This window comes from Homo sapiens, chromosome 4 (genome assembly GCF_000001405.40).
Source record: "Homo sapiens chromosome 4, GRCh38.p14 Primary Assembly".
In the NCBI taxonomy this organism is placed as follows: domain Eukaryota; kingdom Metazoa; phylum Chordata; class Mammalia; order Primates; family Hominidae; genus Homo; species Homo sapiens.
Genome location: NC_000004.12, coordinates 56,309,342 through 56,327,236, shown reverse-complemented (window position 1 = coordinate 56,327,236; position 17,895 = coordinate 56,309,342). Strand labels below are relative to the sequence as shown.

At 47.7% G+C, this 17,895-nt stretch overlaps 1 protein-coding gene, 1 long non-coding RNA gene and 1 pseudogene across 14 annotated transcripts in view, besides 2 other annotated features; 1 reads left to right on the top strand and 2 right to left on the bottom strand.

Annotated features, from left to right (window-relative positions):
- CRACD (capping protein inhibiting regulator of actin dynamics) overlaps positions 1-17,895 on the bottom strand; it is a 281,512-nt gene that overhangs the window by 3,373 nt on the left and 260,244 nt on the right. For all 13 annotated transcript variants that reach the window (XM_047415994.1, NM_001393381.1, NM_001393384.1 and 10 more), the window contains 5 exons: positions 16,503-16,571; positions 13,858-14,040; positions 10,548-13,197; positions 3,670-3,860; positions 2,971-3,133 (listed from right to left, as the gene is read on the bottom strand). In XM_047415994.1, the coding sequence (XP_047271950.1) occupies positions 2,971-3,133; positions 3,670-3,860; positions 10,548-13,197; positions 13,858-14,040; positions 16,503-16,571 (3,256 nt within the window). The remainder of the gene's footprint in view (positions 1-2,970; positions 3,134-3,669; positions 3,861-10,547; positions 13,198-13,857; positions 14,041-16,502; positions 16,572-17,895) is intronic.
- On the top strand, positions 5,903-6,590 carry MRPL22P1 (mitochondrial ribosomal protein L22 pseudogene 1; annotated as a pseudogene).
- Positions 13,863-14,363: an enhancer, noted in NCBI's record as "H3K4me1 hESC enhancer chr4:57179040-57179540 (GRCh37/hg19 assembly coordinates)". NCBI's record gives its function as "activates a minimal SCP1, AML or CMV promoter by ChIP-STARR-seq in naive H9 embryonic stem cells {active_cell/tissue: H9 hESC(naive)}" and the evidence as "EXISTENCE:reporter gene assay evidence [ECO:0000049][PMID:30033119]".
- On the bottom strand, positions 15,629-16,491 carry LOC124900707 (uncharacterized). Its single transcript, XR_007058127.1, has 2 exons — positions 16,168-16,491; positions 15,629-16,029 (listed from the first exon to the last, which is right to left on the bottom strand). It is a non-coding gene; the product is annotated as an uncharacterized LOC124900707 (long non-coding RNA).
- Positions 15,701-16,900: an enhancer, noted in NCBI's record as "MED14-independent group 3 enhancer chr4:57176503-57177702 (GRCh37/hg19 assembly coordinates)". NCBI's record gives its function as "activates an origin of replication core promoter dependent on BRD2, BRD4, P300/CBP and CDK7 cofactors, and independent of MED14, by STARR-seq in HCT116 cells {active_cell/tissue: HCT116}" and the evidence as "EXISTENCE:reporter gene assay evidence [ECO:0000049][PMID:35650434]".

Here is a 17,895-nt window from a genome sequence, read left to right as displayed (position 1 = left end):
TGAAGGAAAGCAAGCTATGTGTTTATATCTCTTGCACACAGAATTACAACAACCAAAGTAGTCAGTTCTAATTTCAAAGAATTTCCAGAAGCCTAATCTATATAAAGAAGCTATGCCTGCATGATAACCAGTCAATTCCATGAAGAAAAAGATCAACCCAGCCGACTGGATCTGGTGAGGTTAAAAGCTACCTTCCTGGCCAGGCGTGGTGGATCACGCCTGTAATCTCAGCACTTTGGGAGGTCAAGGAGGGAGGATCACTTGAGGTCAGGAGTTCGAGACCAGCCTGGCCAACATGGTGAAACCCTGTCTCTACTAAAAATACAAAAAGTAGCCAGGCTTGTTGGCAGGTGTCTGTAATCCCAGCAACTTGGGAGGTTGAGGCAGGAGAATCACTTGAACCCTGCAGGCAGAGGTTGCAGTGAATCGACATCGCACCACTGCACTCCAGCATGGGTGACAGAGAGAGACTCTGCTTCAAAAAAAAAAAAAAAAGCTACCGTCCCCACAAAAGCATCCACTGGGTGCCTCTACCTCTGAGTCTCACAGATCCTGCCAGCTCCCATGACTTTCATCCTTGTCTCACAGTTCTTTGCACCGTATCACTTTATCAGAGTGTATAGGCTTCTTAATGTGAGAGGGTGCTTGTCTTATCTTTGAGTCATAAATAGTGCCTATGGCAATGGCTTACACATATGCTTCTAGAACTCAGGAAATACTGACTGAGAAGACAAATACTTCAGAACAAAGACTTGCTTTATTAAGCTAGAGCCACTCTTGAGTTGCATTAATCCTTTAGTACTTCTGAGAAATCAGGCAGAGAAAGATTTGACCTCTTTGACTTTGGGGCTTTCACTTTATTTTGAAAGAAACTCATTCTCTCTCTTTTTCTCACTCTTTCTCTTTCTGGTTCTAACAGGTAGAACCCTTAATTCCTATAAGTAAAATCAAATGACATAATGCCTGCCTGCGGTTCTTAAGAAATTACACAGCATTCTAAAGTGGTTTTCAAATATAAAGCTTTGGGCCAGGCATGGTGGCTCACGCCTTTAATCCCAGCACTTTGGGAGGCCGAGGTGGGCGGATCACTTGAGGTCAGGAGTTCGAGATTAGCCTGGCCAACATGGTGAAACCCTGTCTCTGCTAAAAATACAAAAATTAGCTGGGTGTGGTGGCGTGTGCCTGTACTCCCAGCTACTTGGGAGACTGAGGCAGAAGAATTGCTTGAACCCAGGAGGCGGAGGCTGCAGTGAGCCGAGATGGCGCCATCGCACTCCAGCATGGGCAACAGAGCAAGATTCTGTCTCTCCCTCAAAATGCCAAACAAAACTAAAAAACAAATATAAAGCTTCCCTCCGTGTCACCAGTAGTAAATATATCTTTAATAGTAAGACCTCTTAATATCTCTTGACCTCAGGTAGCCAAGGCAGAGAAAAGCCTGGGTCTAGAGATTAGACGCCCTTTGGGGAATAGTGGAGCCTAGTGGGGAAAAGAGATGCCCTATTAATCACTGGTAGGGAGCCTGTTCAGAGTCATCCATCCTTCAAGTGATTGGTAATAAGGAGATAGTTGGATACATTACATCGTTTTACCTTTTAACCAAATAAAGAATATTTTCTAAATGTGTACATCTCTTACATGTTATGAACATATAAAAACTGCTGTTGTTAATTAACATCAAAGACACTGTGCTGAGAAACTTTACTCTGTAAAGCCACAGACTATCAGAAACCCGCTGCGTGAAATCACATCAGTGAGAACAGACCATCTCACTTTTGCCTGGAGCTTCTGAGCCACGTGTCACCATCACAGAGATGCAGTTTCCATTTCCAACCCGGGTGCGGAGCTCCTGGTAGTGGTTTTCAGATACAACATTTTACACATTTATCTTTTCTGTTTTTGTTGTTTTTGAGACAGTCTGTCGCTCAGGCTGGAGTGCAGTGGCACGATCTCGGCTCACTGCAACCTCCACTTCCTGGGCTCAAGCAATCTTCCCACCTCAGCCTCCCAAGTAGGTGGGACTACAGGCATGCACCACCACACCTGGCTAATTTTTGTATTTTTAGTAGAGACGGGGTTTCGCCATGTTGCCCAGGCTAATATCGAACTCCTGGGCTCAAGCAATCTGCCTGCCTTGGCCTCCCAAAGTGCTGGGATTACAGGCATGAGCCACCATACCTGGCCCACATTTATCTTTCTTTTCTGTATTTTTAAAATTGATATATATATACACCATACTTGTATATATTTTGGGGGTACATGTGGCATTTTAATACATACAAATAATGTATAATGATCAATCAGGGTAAGTTGGATATCCATGACCTCAAACATTTCAAACATTTAACTTAACTTTGTAGTTTTGAAGGAAACAGGAGCCTGAGCAAACGTTTCAGCTCAGTCTTGATATTATCTCCTTTATGGACACCATGGCTTTGATTTGACTTATTAAAATGCTACTCCATTTAAATTTTACCTAAACTTCACCCTTTACCCCAAGTCCTGCTATAATTTTGTCTTTTCTCTTGTTTAGAAGGTTCTTCTGTAAGTTAATAAACCCAACTTTGTCAGAATATAGGCAGAGGGTGCTGGAGATGGCTCATACTGCCGTGCTAAACGTTCACAAATGTAGTGAGCCAGCTGACATCATATTGGTATAATAGCTTTGAACAGGCCATGGTGGGAGTATTTACACTGAGAAATTGAAGATGCTCCAAACAGAGGTCTCTCTACCCCCTCAAGAGCTAACTGTTAAATATTCACCAACACACCACTGATAGTGGGTGAGCTCCTGGTGGTCTTTATCAAATGAGCTTAATCAGTGTCAACGTTTATGAATGAGGTTATCAGATAGCCTGTGCTTTGAAATGCCTGAGGTGCTCTGCTAGTCATTACACTGTAGGATATAAAGCACGCTCTACAAAGAGAAACCTGGAACTACAGTTACAAAGCAATGGACCTGCTCTCTACCTGTCACAGACGTAGGAAGAGTATTGGCCTTTTTCAGCTGTTCTCTGCGCTCAAGCCTGGACACTGCAGTCTCGGGCCTCTTCTCTTCTGGCAGAGCAGTGGACTTGTGCAGGGAACCTGCTCTGCTGACACTGCTGCTTCCAGGCTGCACGCTGACACTGACCTGCGTGGGCAGAGACAGTCATGGGAAACATGTTTTCAACCTAAGACATGGAAAGACTGACCCTGCAGGCCTTCGGGGCCTCTGCCTGCCAGCCCCTGACCTCTGCTTCCAACGGTGGGCTGGATTACATGTATGAGCCATGTACGCTCAACCACGGCTTCCGGTGAGGGGGCAGCTCAGAGCCAGTGTGCCTAACAGGGAAAGTTACTTTCCCAGAAGAGCCTCATCAAACTGACTATAACATCTGGCCACAGTTTCCTTGCAAAATGTTTGTGTTTCTCATGTAACTTGTATATCACTGTTGTAAGCGTATCGTGGATTATGGCAAATCAGGTTAACCTAAGAGCATAAACAAACCAAACCCAGTTTCACACTGAAAACGCTTCCCTGGTTTAATGGTGGTCAGTTTATTTACTGCTTGGCCCTCTCTAAGTACTTTCCACCAGCCCAGCTAGCCTTTTGTTTTGTATCCTTGTGACTGAAAAGAGAACCAAGCTCAGGAAAGCAAAATCACAGCTGAAGCCCAGGCTACTCACATTTTCTTTGGAGAGCTTTTCTGCCTGTTTGGCCTCTCTGGCTTGCTTTCTCTCCTCCCGCGTCGCCTGCTGCTCCCGAAACCCCTTTTGCTTTTGCAGTGCTAACGTTATCCACAGCGGCTGAGCAGTTTCCACTTTCTCTGTAAGTTTGGAGCCATCTAAGGAGTGTCTGCTCTGAAGCATCGGCTTCTCTGTGGGGAATAAGACAAAGAACGGTTTGCAATGAACTTAACTGCGGACTTACCTCAGTTCCTCACCCCCTAAAACTTGTGACATATTAATAACCCTATGGCATATTCAGCTGGCCCCTTCCTAGCACAACCTCTGTGCTGATGCCTGAGTGGCTCCACTGGGTGGGAAGGTAACATGTTTGATCACCAGAAAAACAAGGGTATTTGTCTTCCCTAGAAATGGAAGAAGTTACTCTGTTAGAAAAAAACTCAAATAAATCTCCAGGGTCATAACATCTCAGGCCTCCAGGGCATCCAGATAGGTATTTGGTTCGTTGTTCTTTTTTAAATTCATTCCTTTTTGTTGTTGTTTGACAGAGTTTTGAACTGTCACCCAGGCTGGAGCAGTGGTGCAATCTCGGCACATTGCAACCTCTGCCTCCTGGGTTCAGGCAATTCTCCTGTTTCAGCCTCGCGAGTAGCTAGGACTACAGGCGCCTGCAACCACACCTGGCAAATTGTTGTATTTTTAGTAGAGATGGGTTTTTACCATGTTGGCCAGGCTGGTCTCGAACTCCTGACCTTAAGTGATCCACCTGCCTTGGCCTCCCAAGGTGCTATGATTAGAGGCGTGAGCCATTGCACCCGGCCCTAATTCATTGCTTTAAATGAAATTTATTTTTAGCCATGGAACCATTTTTTCCCCTCAAAGAACATACTACGTGGAACTCCAATGTTGGAAAGATGAAAAAGGAGCACTACTCTGCCTAATGGGGAAGCTGAAGAACACTGTGGGAAGCCCATGATTTTGGTCCACTGCACTCATTTAATAGATGTGAGTACTCCAGCCACCAAGTGCCATGCCCATGGTCACTCAGCAGTTAGTACACAGGCTTCTGAAGCTAGAACATAGGCCTTCTGACTTCCGTCTCTGTTTTTCTTGTGGTTGACTGTCTCACCTATGTAATTGGGGGTAAATACCTCACAGGAGGTTCATGTGACAGGTTGAGTACTAGGCTCTAAAATTGAGCAGACCTGGATTTGATCTTTGATGATCTTACAAAAACTACTTAACTTCTCTAAGCTTTAGTTTTCTAATCTAGAAAGTGGAGATGATAATGTCTTATTGGGTTGCCATGAAAATTAAAAGAGATCCTGGGAACCAGAACATTTACAACAGTTCTTGGCAAATCCTGGTCACTCTACAAAAGTGAGCTGTTCTTATATGCCTATGAGACAAGAATCTCCTTTTCCCTCAAGTAAAAATTATGCATGTTCAGAGATAATCAGTTATTGAATCTCTTATTATCTCAAAGGAAAGGAGCTCACTATAGTATTGTTTTTGAAATCCAATAGAAGTTTACACTTTGGTAGTCCAGAACCTTACTTCCAGGGCTCTCAGTCAACTGGATTTTATATCGTATTCCAGGATGAAAAGAAAGAGCAGTGATGAGAAAATAAATTCAAATTAGAAATTCAAGCAAAAAGGGCAGGGGGCAGATTCTGCTTATTTTTCTATATTCTTTAGATCTACAATGCTGTACAAAGAGAATTCATATTTATAATGAGCCTGGGGCACTGCAATATCCCTAAATCATCAAATAACGATTCAGTTATGATCTAACAGAGAAAATAAGACTGACATCTCTTAGAAGTATTTTAAAACAAAACTGAATTTGAAAGAGTTTTTGTTTCATCTTTAGTTAACCAGAAAATCAAAAAGAATTCATCACCTCAAACATTCTGCTTTACACTGAAACTTAACAAGTTTCTGTATTTTACTCCAGGTCCCTGTAACACTTCTTTAGAAAACTTCTAAAAACCAAGTTGCCAAGATCTAAATGATTTCTATAGAAAGCTATTATACCAAAGGGAATTCTGATTCTGGCTAAACACTACATCTGAACTTGCTTGGGAAGGTCACTAAAACAACCAGCCAGTTTCCTGCCAACAACTTAGACTATTATTTACTGGAAGGGTCAAAATGCCTTTAAGTATTAGTAATGAAATTTATAATTGACTAATTTGAAAAAAGAAATCTCTGGGTAGGAGGAGGAGGGAAGATAGTGGTTGCAGTACTGGAACAGCTGGGTGCAATGTGGACGCAGTGGCCTTGGCAGGTCTCCTTCATCTCAGCATTTTACCCCAATCCCAGGTCCACACAAGTGCTTCTCTTGACACTTCTCAAAAATGGGAGAAGAAGAATAAAACCGTTTATCCTCCACAACTGCCTGCAGAACCTCAGAGACCAGCAGAAATCTACCAATACCAAAGAAAACTAAAAGACAGCAAAGACAAGATGTTGTATTTGGCAAAATTGGTAGGAGAAATGTCCACTGACCAGGCTTAGCTCAACTGGGATTCAGCGACAAAAAGGGACCCAAATCATTAAAGATGTTCTCTTAGAAGCACAAGACGTGGCAGTGAAAGACCACAATGTGGAATTCAGATCTGGTTTATATATAAACTGAGTCCACCTCAGGGGGAGGCCAGTGCCTGACAGGCTTCTGCTACCAAAGTAGAGGTTGCTTTGGGATCATGAAGGTTACTGCCATTATTTTATGAAGCTGGTGGAAGGGCCTCCCCACCTCCACGTGAGGCACCCAAGATGGCGAAGTCACCCATACCAAAGAGTATATATTCAGAAGCTTCAACACTGGACCATCACTCACACTATGATGGGGCTGTGATAACGGAAGATCACTTAGTCTAGGAAAGAACTCCTCCATGTGCCATCATAACCACTGTAGGGAGCAGGCAAGTCACTCAACTTTTCAGATACTGCTGTCCATGTCTGTAAGATGGAGCCAAGACTACCTACCTATCCGTGTGCTGTGAGCACCGAAGGAGACGATGCAAATAACTTTGTAAATGATGTCGCACAAAGGATGACTAGTGTTGAAATCATCCAAACACAGTAAAATCTCTTATTACAGTCAAGGTTTTGAAAGATAGTCAATTGCATCACCTATTTGAGGAGTTCAAAATTCCTAATTAAAAATGTATTTTGCTCCAATATAAACCCATTCTCTCTCATTCTAAACTCAGTGGACAGGCGTATCATAGTCCACCTGAGTTGCCTCCTCAAGTTCTGAGGAGATGAGCAAGGATCACAGGGTTCTAGTCACTACTCCCAAAGGGCATTCCTTGGAGAAAGGGATACTAAGCTATTTTTCTGTTTTATCCACCCTAAGTACGTTAGAATTTCAGAATGAGATGCTAGGTGTAATGAAAGGTTTGTTTTTTTTTTTTGAGGCTGGAGTCAGTGCACAATCTCTGCTCACTGCAACCTCTGCATCCTGGGTTCAAGCAATCCTCCTGCCTCAGCCTCTGAGTAGCTGGGATTACAGGTGCCCACCACCACACCTGGCTAATTTTTGTATTTTTAGTAGAGACAGGGTTTCACCATGTTGGCCAGGCTGGTCTTGAACTCCTTGCCTCAAGTGATCTGCCCGCCTTGGCTTCCCAAACTGTGGGATTATAGGTGTGAGCCACCGTGCCTGGCCTGAAAGTGTTTATAGTACAAGCACATGGGGATTATCATTGCTGTTTTAATCTCACCAGGTAGATTCAGAGTCAACACCCTACAAGTCTACATATTTGTCCTCACTGGCCCCAGCCTTGGCAATGCAGGCCTCTTTATAAAGCACTGGTCTCCAAAAATGGTTGCGTACGTCACAGGAAATGTGAGAGGCAATTCACTGGAGTTAAGAAAGAAAGATTAGAATTTCTATTTCTCTATTTTTAAATGTAAGGATAAAAACAAAATCAAGCTTTTTTTTTTTCCTTTTTTTGAGACAGGGTCTCACTCTGTCACCCAGGTTGGAGTGCAGTGGTGAGATCGCAGCTCACTGTAGCCTCGACCTACTAGGCTCAAGCAATCCTCCCACCTCAGCCTCCCAAGTAGATGGGACCACAGGTGTGTATCATGCCCAGCTAATTTTTGAATTTTTTGTAGAGACAGGGTTTTGCCACATTGCCAGGCTGGTCCTGAACTCCTGGTAGGCTCAAGCAATCTGCCCACCTCAGCCTCCCAAAGTGCTGGGATTACAGGTGTAAGCCACCACGTCTGGCCAAAATCAAGCTTTTCTAATACTTAGTACCCTGACTGGCAGTGACCCCATAGCCCATATATTCAAAGGCCATGTAATAACAAATGGTATGTTTAAAGAATCTCCAGGGAAGCTGGGAAGGCTATGTGGGGCTGCATGTGGTGGGTGCTTTTTGTTCTCAGTGGTTCTTGAATTTAGCATATGGGAGGTTCTGCAGTTTGGCGAGTTTATATCTCCTTTTAACTAAATGATCCCTTCCACAATAGACAAATGGCATATGGCATAGAGAAAGTCCTGCAGACAATATACTACTAATAATACGAGTAAGAGAAAATAACAGAGCTGAGGAACTCTTTGCCTGCTACTTCCGAAGAAATCATATCCAAGAAGAAGTTGGCCAAAGAGAATAAAAAATAGCACCATGACTTGCAATTGCAGATTTAGATCCACTGTTGTTAAGTGTAAGTATAGCTGGTGCTCCAGGGGTTTTAGTTAACAATGATACTACATGTATACAATCAACAAATAAATTGCAGGTCCTTGCCTAACATTTTTATCCTGATGGGGTGTTCAGTCAGACAAATTTGGCCAGTCCTGGCCTACAGCAGCAAGTTGCATAACAAAACCCCAGTGAATGGAGAGAGTGATCCTTGCTTTCAGGCTATTTCTGTATCGAATCAGGAAAAATTCAAATAGCAGAGTGTGACAGCCCAGAATCTGTCCTCACTGGCTCCACTGGGAAAGAAAACAGGGACAGTGATAGATTTGGGGAGAAAATTATAATAATCAAGGGGACAGCCCTAAGAGAAGGAAGTGAGCAGAAGCATGACTTCTTTGGAGAAGGCAAGTGACATAGCAGACGAGGCTGTGAGAGAGACTTTGCAGATACTATGAAAGCCAGTGCCACAAACACTAGTGGCAAAACCAAAAACGGGCCCCTCATCCAGCAGGACAAACAGAAATCATTAGGGAGAAATGGTCTAGAAACTGCTGATGAACATGTCTGTCCAGAAAACCAGGCCAAGCAAGTGGACTATTTAAAAAAGGACAAGCTGGGTGCGGTGGCTCACACCTGTAGTCCCACCTACGAGGAGGCTTAGGCAGGAGGGATGCATGATCCCAGGAGTTCAAGACCAGCCTGGGCAACATAGCAAGACCCTGTCTCTAGATACTAACAATAATAAACAATAAAATAAAATAAGGATATATGGGGTCTTCTGTAAAGGCAAGTAACCAGACCAACACTCCTCAGGAAACAAATCATTCCTCTGCAAAAACTGCCCCAAATCTAAATACTTGAACAAAGGAGAAAACAATCCCTCCTAAGAAAACCTCAGGGGACAATTTCTCTGGGAAATGTGAGTAACTTTTGGCTTTGACCCATACTTTACCTCCTATACTCTGCATAATAGAAAAGAAAAAGTATTAGATGAAGGTTCTCTGGGGGCACAAAAGCTAATCCAACTGACAGCTTTGTTGGCCCAAACATTTAATCTGAAGAAACATCAGGGTCAGCCAGAGGTAAGGCTTGCTCCAAAATTTCTTTGTAGGAGGGCTCTGCAGTGGTGAGCTGGGTGAGGGTAGGGGGTGGGTGGGGGGATGGAGGGACCCAAGCTGCATTTGCAGAGCATTTTACATAAAATGGAGACAGTCAATTATCCCATAGAGAGGATCCATAGGTCTGATGGAGACACCTAAAGTCCCCTAAACTGCCATCATGGTGCCACTACTGCCCAGAGATACAGTGAAGACACTGGTAGGGGACACTCCAGTTTTATCATCACTGCGAGGCCCCCTCAAAATGGTTAATGACATCTTCAGTCGTTGGGATTATTATTTCAATTTCTATTGCCAACCGAAAAGGCATTCATCTAACTGTTGGCACCTTTTATCGCTTGTGTAAATAAGTATCATTATCAAGAGTGAACTGCAGACACACTGCAGAGTTGGTCAGCATTTCCCAAATTTGAAAGAATGAGAAGTAACAAGGCTTACTATGAATCACGAGTGAGTGTCTTTCGGGAATCCCACACCAGCCTCTAATTAATGAAGGTGTGCCCAACACCAGCTCCACTGGCTGCCTCTGGCGTTGGGCACTTCTGGTTCTAGCAGTGACGTAGTCAATGAGCTGGACAGAGGCAGACAAGGAGCGCAAGGACCACCTGGTGACCATCAAACAGACCATCCAGAGGCAAAACTCCTTATCTGGGGAATTCAGAATTAAACTTCCCTAGTATCTAACATAGGCATCTGGTTCCAGGCTTTTCAACTTTTATAACTAGAATTTCTAGACATCTCTGGAATGTCATGGCAAAACTCATTTTGCAACCCTTGCTGACATTAAGGCACCAAAATGTCCACAAATGTAATCATTTATCACGACCTACGTGGCTAATGTGGCCCAAATTACCCTTCCAATTACCCTTAAGCTCTCGACTTAAGGTCCATAAATGCTCCTAAGGAAAATCCACCAGGGCACTCAGTCCTCTCACTGAGGCGCCCCACGGTTTTGTTCTGCAGCGTTCTAATAAAACTTTCCTTTTTCAAATCTGTATTGTTGGTAAATTATTCTCATGAACCTGCGTGTGGATCTCTTCTTGATGCCCTGGCTCTGACACCTCGGCTGGCAGCAGTTACCCACCCTGCAGCTACCTACCTTTCCTCCCGGCCTCGGGTGTTTGAGAAGGTTTCTCTTGCTGAGTGGCAGGCAGAGGTGGGGAAGCAGGTTTCCTCTCTGTCGCCTCTTCCTCCTCGTCCCTCTTCTGTCCCTTCCTTTCCTCGGGGCCTGGGGGCGAGGGTGGCCGGCGGTCACTGCTCTCCTGGTCCTCCTTGGACGGCTCACTTGGCTCTGGGTCCGGCCTCCCCGCTCGGCGAGACAGCAGCTCTACCAAGTAGGGCCTGCTCAGTTTGGAAAGTGGGGATGCTGGTGGGGTCTGACTGGTGGGCTTGGGAGCCAGTGCTGGCTTTTGTGCCAGTGGCATTTTGTTTGCTGCCTTGTCGTGCTCCGGAGCCGGGGTCTGGCTGCTGGCCGGTGGAGGCCCAGGGTGGGCCACAGGAACAGAGCGGCTGCTGGAAGGTTCAGCGGAGTCCCTCCGGGTGGAAGGGGCTTGCTTCCGCTCTTGGGGGAGGGATGGACCATGCTTGAGGGCCACACCCTCCATCTCTTTCTCTCCACGAGCGCTCCCCGCTGCAGGCGGCCCTGCATCCGCGCTGTCTCCGGTGCTGCTGTGCCTCTTCTTCTTCTTCTGTTCTGCCTGTTGGTCGCAGTTGAAGCGCAAGGAATAGTTGGTCCTTCTCAATTTTATTCCAAACGGTGAGGCTTTTTCCTCTCCACCTGGCATCACAGGGTCTGGCTTTGCTATCCCGTTTGCAGTCTCGCTGTCCGACGAGGTCGTGAACTCTGTGTGGGCCACCACTTTCTGCGGAGGGTAAGGAAGGCTTGGGACAAGGAAAGACGGGAGGTCTTTGGCAAATTTGCATCCCTCGGTGGTGTCTGCGGGCTCCCGGTGCATCTCCGACTTCTCCGGACCCTTCCCGAGCTCGCGAACACCAGCAGGAGGAGGCTGGGGGGCTGTCTCTTCGCTGGGTCCCAGCATGGGTCTTTTTCGTATGCTTTCAGCTTCCGTGCTCTGTTTGGAGGTCTCCGTGCCACCATCGGAAAATTTCTGCCAGGCAGGCATAATAGAGAACTTTGCATTGACTGGCGGAGTCTTCCGTTGGTTCCCGCGGGAATCACACCGGCCCCTGGGAGTGGACTCATCACCGGGCCTCAACTGGTCCCTCTCGCTGCTGCGCGGGTCACTCTCTGCGTTCTTCAGGATTCTGGACCGAATGGAAGCCCATTCTGCGAGTGCGGACGCGCTGCTGGGAGACTCCTGGCGGGGCTTAGCCTTCCCGCTGCCCGCCCTCGCGTCGCCGGGGCCTCGGGGAGGGTTCTCCCCAGCTGGGGCTTCCGCGTGCTTCTTCTCCTCCAAGCCCAGGAGGGACTTGCACGCGGTGTCCTTGATCTGGCTCAGGTTGACTGCCGGGCCACAGAGCTGCGCGCCCGTGACCAGAATGGCGGTGTGGGGAACGCTCAGGGACGACGGTAGGGCGTGCTGGACTGGGCTGGCTTTGGGGGCCTTTGGTTCCTGGGGAGCAGCGGTGAGCCCCGTGTCCTTTGCGGGCGTCACGGGGCTCAGGTTGACTTTGGGAAAGAGAATCTGCTTCCCTCCGGAGGACACCTGGAACGTGTAGGGCCGGGGCATGGTCTGTCTCTCGTCCACCTCCTGCCACCGCAGCTCCTCCACCTTGCGGCCTTGTTCAAGGGCGGCGGCTTCTTTCCTCTCCACCGGAGGCTGCGCGGCTTCCACCGGCCCCTCTTGTTTCAGGAGAGGCTCCGTGTCCCCTTCTTCTCTCTTTTCCTCGGGCCCAGGACGATCGGCCCCCTGGAAATCCCCGCTCCTTCCCTGCTGCTCTCTTCGCCGCTCGGCCTCTGGGTTCTGCTCCTCGCAAATACCTGGCTCCTCGGAGTGTTCTCTTTGTCCTTCGGGTTTCAGGCGTTCCTGGTCTTCGAGCCTCTCCTCAAAGTCGTTCAGAAGCTCACTGAGCTGCCCCCTCCAGTCCTCCAGGTGCGCCTGGCCCTCCTCCTCCTCTTCCCCCAGATCCTCCTCCTCCGCGCCCCGCCGGCCCTCCCCAGTCTCCTCCAACGCCTCGGGCGGCCCCTGCACCTCCGCCTCCTGCTGTTCCAGCTCTTCCCATCCCTCAGCCTCCTCCTCCTCCTGCCTTTTGAGCTCCTCCGCGCATCTTCCTTCCTCCTCCTCCTGCCGCCTCCGCTCCTCCAGCCTGGCGTCCTCCTCCAGCCGCCGCCTCTCCTCCGCTTGGGCCTGGGCCTGCAGACGCCTTCGCTCCTCCTCCGCCTCCAGGCGCTCGCGCTCCTCACGCTCCCTCCGCTCCGCGTCCTCCCAACCTGGCGCTTCCAGGCTCCGCTGCTGCTCTTCCCGCGGCGCCCTTTCCGCCTCTAGAGGCGGCTCCTGCCCCTCGCCCTCCTCCTCCAAGAGCTCCTGCCTTCTGTTCTCTTCCCAAAGCCTCCTCTCCAGCGCCTGCAGCCTCTGCTCCTCTAGGCGTCTCTTCTCGGCTGCTTCCGCCTTTTGCCGCTTGCACTTGGCCTCCAGTTCTCGCCAGTAGTCTTCTTGGCGTCTTCTCTCTTCCTCGGAATCCAGCGGATTGGGTTCCTCTTCGTGCCACGTTGGCTTGTCCTCGCCTGGGTGTCCGTTCTGGTCCAGGCAGGGCCGACTCTCAAGGCCGCCTTGCTCATGTTGTGGATCCTAACATTGGAAAGGAAAACACAATTAGCCTTTTGCTTTCTCCACCCACAGTCGTTCCTTTTCCTATTCACAGTGCCAGCGACCCTCTTAATTTCTCAAGAACACCTGGAAGCAGGTATTCTCAAGTTCAGGGATAGCTAAACTCAGGCATCGGTCACCCCACGCAAGACTCTGTCGTGCGAATGGAGAAAAGGACGTGTATTCTGTTTCCGCGCCCCCCTCCCCACCAGCTCCTTTATTTGTCATTCCCTAATTCCTTTCCTTAATATGAACAAACGAGGAAAACCAATATTCAAGCATTAGATGAGCAAAAAGAGACTTGGACTTCATTAATGTCCCCTGGAGCTTGTGACTTGGAAGCCTATCCTAGTCAAACTGAGGGAGCATTGGCTAAACCACTTTTCCACTGCAAAGCAAACACAACGGGTCTGGAGCCCCTCAAAAGGCAACCGCTCCCTCTGAGGTCCACCAGCCTCATGCCAGAAAGGGCGAGGAAAGTAAACAGGCCTGTGTATTCCCCAACACCGCCACACACTCAAGTTCCCGATGGGGAGACTCTCAGGTCTTTACATGGCTCCACCCCAATGCCAACCCACTTGTAGAATTAGTGCCCAGTAGGCAAGGGCACCTGCCTGGTCAGCCCGTGCAGGCTCTACACACCTGGGCAAGGCGCCTGTGCTTCTTTGACACCCTCTGTTTTTTTGGCTTAACAGCCAGCTTGTGCTTGGCGGCACTGTTGTCCAGGCGAGCGATGGCCAGGGGGATGGCATCTAAGTTGACACTTTCGATGGTGCCAGCAGAAGAGAAGTGCCTTTTTGGCCGAGACGGTTTAACGGGAGCAACCTGTAGGGGAGATTAAAATAGAAAGTCAGTTGGGATCAGAAGACAACCTGCAGGGAATCGCAGAACGGTGGCACTCGTTCCAGTGTGCGCCTCGCCCAGCCTGGCCCAGGGAATGCAGGTGAGCAGAGGGAACTCCTCAGAAAATGAAATGAACACCCGTTTTGGAACCAAAGGACATTGACTATTTGTTCTGCCAGCGTCCACTGGTATTAACTTGTAAAAGTCATATAACTTTTAGGAACTAATTTTCCTACTTTGACTAATATGAGGTTCAGAGTAGCTCCAAGATTAGCAAAACATAGCCAGGAGGCCAAATCCTGCCCACAGCCTGTTTTGGAGAATCAGAGTTTTACCGGGCCACAGCTACACCCATTGTCTTTGGTTGCTTTTTGTGCTATGAAGGAAGAGTGGCACAAAGGAGAGTACTTGTAGCTTCATGTCACAAAGCCTAAAATAATGAGTAGTTTGCTGACCCCTGGCCTAGATCACCTCTGTGCTAAGAACTGTTAAACTCTCAGACACTGCATATATGCCTCAGCTCCTACACAGGACTTAGTCCCTTTGAGGCTGGGAGTGTGTCTTTTTTCATCTTTGTATGGGTACCCTTTACACCCACGTAGCAAACCTCATTTGGTCAGTGCTCAATAAATATCTGTTGAAGGAATAAAGGAAAATAAAGTATAGCATCTATACCTGGAACACGAAATTCCTGATCGACAAAAATGTTTTGGTATGGCTGGGTGCGATGGCTCACACCTGTAATCCCAGCACTCTGGGAGGCTGAAGCGGGCAGATCACTTGAGGCCAGGAGTTCGAGACCAGTCTGGCCAACATGGCAAAACCCCATCTCTACTAAATACTTTAAAAATAAATTAGCCGGGTGTGGTGGTGCACACCTGTAATCCCAGCTGGGGAAGCTGATGCATGAGAATTGCTTGAACCCAGGATGCGGAGGTTGCAGTGAGCTGAGATCGCTAGGCTGCACTCTAGCCTAGCCCACAAAGCAAGACTCTGTCACACACACACAAAAGTTTTGGTACAATCGCTCCAAAGAAGTCTCAGGGTACTGACTGCACTGAGAAGATAAAAGGAAGAGGGACCTGATGAGAAAAATGAGCGGCAAAAATCTGCCACCGGGACAAGTGCGGTCCTTCAAAGGATGAATTGTGGAATGGCCTGCAGCTCTAGAATACAGATGCAATCACTAAAAAAAAACACAACCTCAGATGAAGGGTAGATTTGGAAAGATCAGAGAGATCGTGACACAGCCCGAACCCACAGGCCACACTGAATTAGAAGGTAGGACACCACGCCTGTACCTACAGAGAATTCACAGGCTGGCAGCAAGCAAAGGGCTCCTGCTAGAGTGTGGCAGGGGGTGCGGCACTATGCCAGCAGCTCCGATGTGGCCAGGGTTTATTTGTTTGTTTCTGCTGTAGGCATGGAGTGGTGAGGTTTAGCAGATGGGCTTGCTTTTTGCAATTATCTTCTATATGCACAAAAGATGAAAGACCAAGCAGCTAGCTCTAAAAGCAAAATGGATGCTCAGTATATATTAATTTATGACAAGAAGCACAGAAAAATCAAGTTTTGGCCTTCTAGCTTTCATTTATTTATGGTTATCTTTATAATGGGCATGAGATTCTAAGCTATTGCTGAATGAAACATTTGTTTCCATCCCCTAATAGATGCATGAGAAAAAGGAGTCGGAGCCAAATGTGACAGATTGAAGACATAGATAAGCACTTGATGCTGAGATTTAAGTGCTGTGCTTTGTTTCTAGCTATCCCAGCTGGCTTCCTCATTGTCTGGGCGGCAGCACTGTCTTGAGCCATCCCCTTCTTCAGGAGCAGATCCTGCTTCCTATACTGTCTGCCAGGCCTTGGGAGAATGCCTGGCCCCTTGTGCAGATGAAAGGTCCTCAATGGGGCAGATCGGCTCCTACAGAAGAGGTGCCCGGGGAGAAGAGTCCACAGGGTTCTTACACTCCTGCAGGTAAAGTCCCAGGTTTAAAAAAAAGGACACAGAAAAGTTTAAAAAACAACATAAAAGTAGAGAAATGCTAAAGTGCTTTTTTGTTTTGTTTTTGTTTTGCCTCTCTAAATATAAGAGGACTCGTTTCCTTACAGACTGGATATTCTGGAATGCCTTTTTCAATCAATTAACAGGATCTTGAAGTACATGATCCTTTGAGGAAAGCTACCAACTTCTAGGACCCCAAACACAGGCATGCTGGGAGTATGGCTAGTTTTCAGAGCAGAGTTCAGTTCCAGCAGTTGCCTTGCCATGGAAACAGATGCTCCAACATCTGTCACTAGTGGCATTCTGAAGGAATTTAAATATATGAAGGCAACATTTATGAATGGAAAATGAGGCAGCAGGTCGCAAAAAAAAAAAAGGGGGGGGGAAGATGAAAGTTAAGTAAGGAAAGAAGCCAAATAAATAAGTTCAAATCATATTACCTTCTCTTCCATCTCACTTCCAGCTCCAGGGAGATTCAGAGGACTTAGAGAACTTGGCGTATCACTGGACTGGAACAGTAAGAGAGCATTCAAGTCAAAGGCCTGAACAGGAAGTTCTGGGCAAATAACCAGACACTGTCTGTGCCTGGGTAGGGTCACCCCCTCCTCTACACAGGGGTGCAGCTGGCCTCAGAGAGCCAGCAGGTGTCCCAGTGGAGACTATGCTAATATCCAAACTCCACCAGCACTACCTGAGACACAGAGGGTGCACCAGCCTCTCCCCGAGTTCAATGTGTTTCCCACCTGGGTAGTCCCCAGTCTCGGTCATTTGTGTTTTTCTCCACTGCCTGACAGAATGTGAGTAGCTCAACAGCCACTTTCCCTGGGGTGCAGGGCTGTGTCTCATACATGGCCTCCAACCTCAATGCTTTTGGCCTTGCTGGCTGCCTCTCCCCTTCTCCAGCCACACCTCCCCCATCTAAGCAATGAGTGAGAAGAAAGAAGGCCTACCAACTCCACATGCAAAGAGCTGGGCTGAGAAGGTGAAAGACCAGGGAGGGGCCAAGAAAACAGCAGAAAGGGAGAAGAAAAAGGCTAAAGATTCACACCCCCATGTCCTAGGCATGCCCAGGAGACCCCCAGAGGTCATTTGTACCTTTCATATGGCCCACTATGCCTCCTATAGTGGTATCTTCTTTTTCTTTTTTTTTTTTTTTGAGACAGGGTCTCACTTTGTCTCCCAGGCTGGAGTACAGCTGTACAGTCACAGCTCACTGTAGCCTAGAACTCCTGGGCTCAAGCCTCAGCCACTCAGGTAGCTGGGACTAGAGGCATGTGCCACGTCTGGCTAACTTTTTACTTTATATATATATATTTTTTTTGAGACAAAGTCTTGCTCTGTCGCCCAGTCTGGAGTACAGTGCCGTGATCTCAGCTCACTGCAACCTCTGCCTCCTGGCTTCAAGCTATTCTGCAGCCTCAACCTCCCGAGTAGCTGGGATTACAGGCATGCGCCACCGCATCCGGCTAATTTTTGTATTTTTAGTAGAGATGGGGTTTCACCATATTGGCCAGGCTGATCTCGAACTCCTGAGTTCAGGTGACCCGCCCACCTCGGCCTCCCAAAGTGCTGGGATTACAGGCATGAGCCACCACGCCCAGCCTATTTTATAATTTTTGTAGAGATGAGGTCTCTACAAAATGTTGCCCAGGTTGTTCTCAAACTCCTGGCATCAAGTGATCCTCCCACCTCAGCCTCACAAAGTGCTGGCATTATAGGTATGAGCCATACTGCCTGGCCCCTGCGACACCATCTATCCTGTATTGCCATTTCTTACAAAAGAGTCTTTTCTTCCCTTCCAGAGCAACCATGTCAGCTTGCCCTACCTCCGTC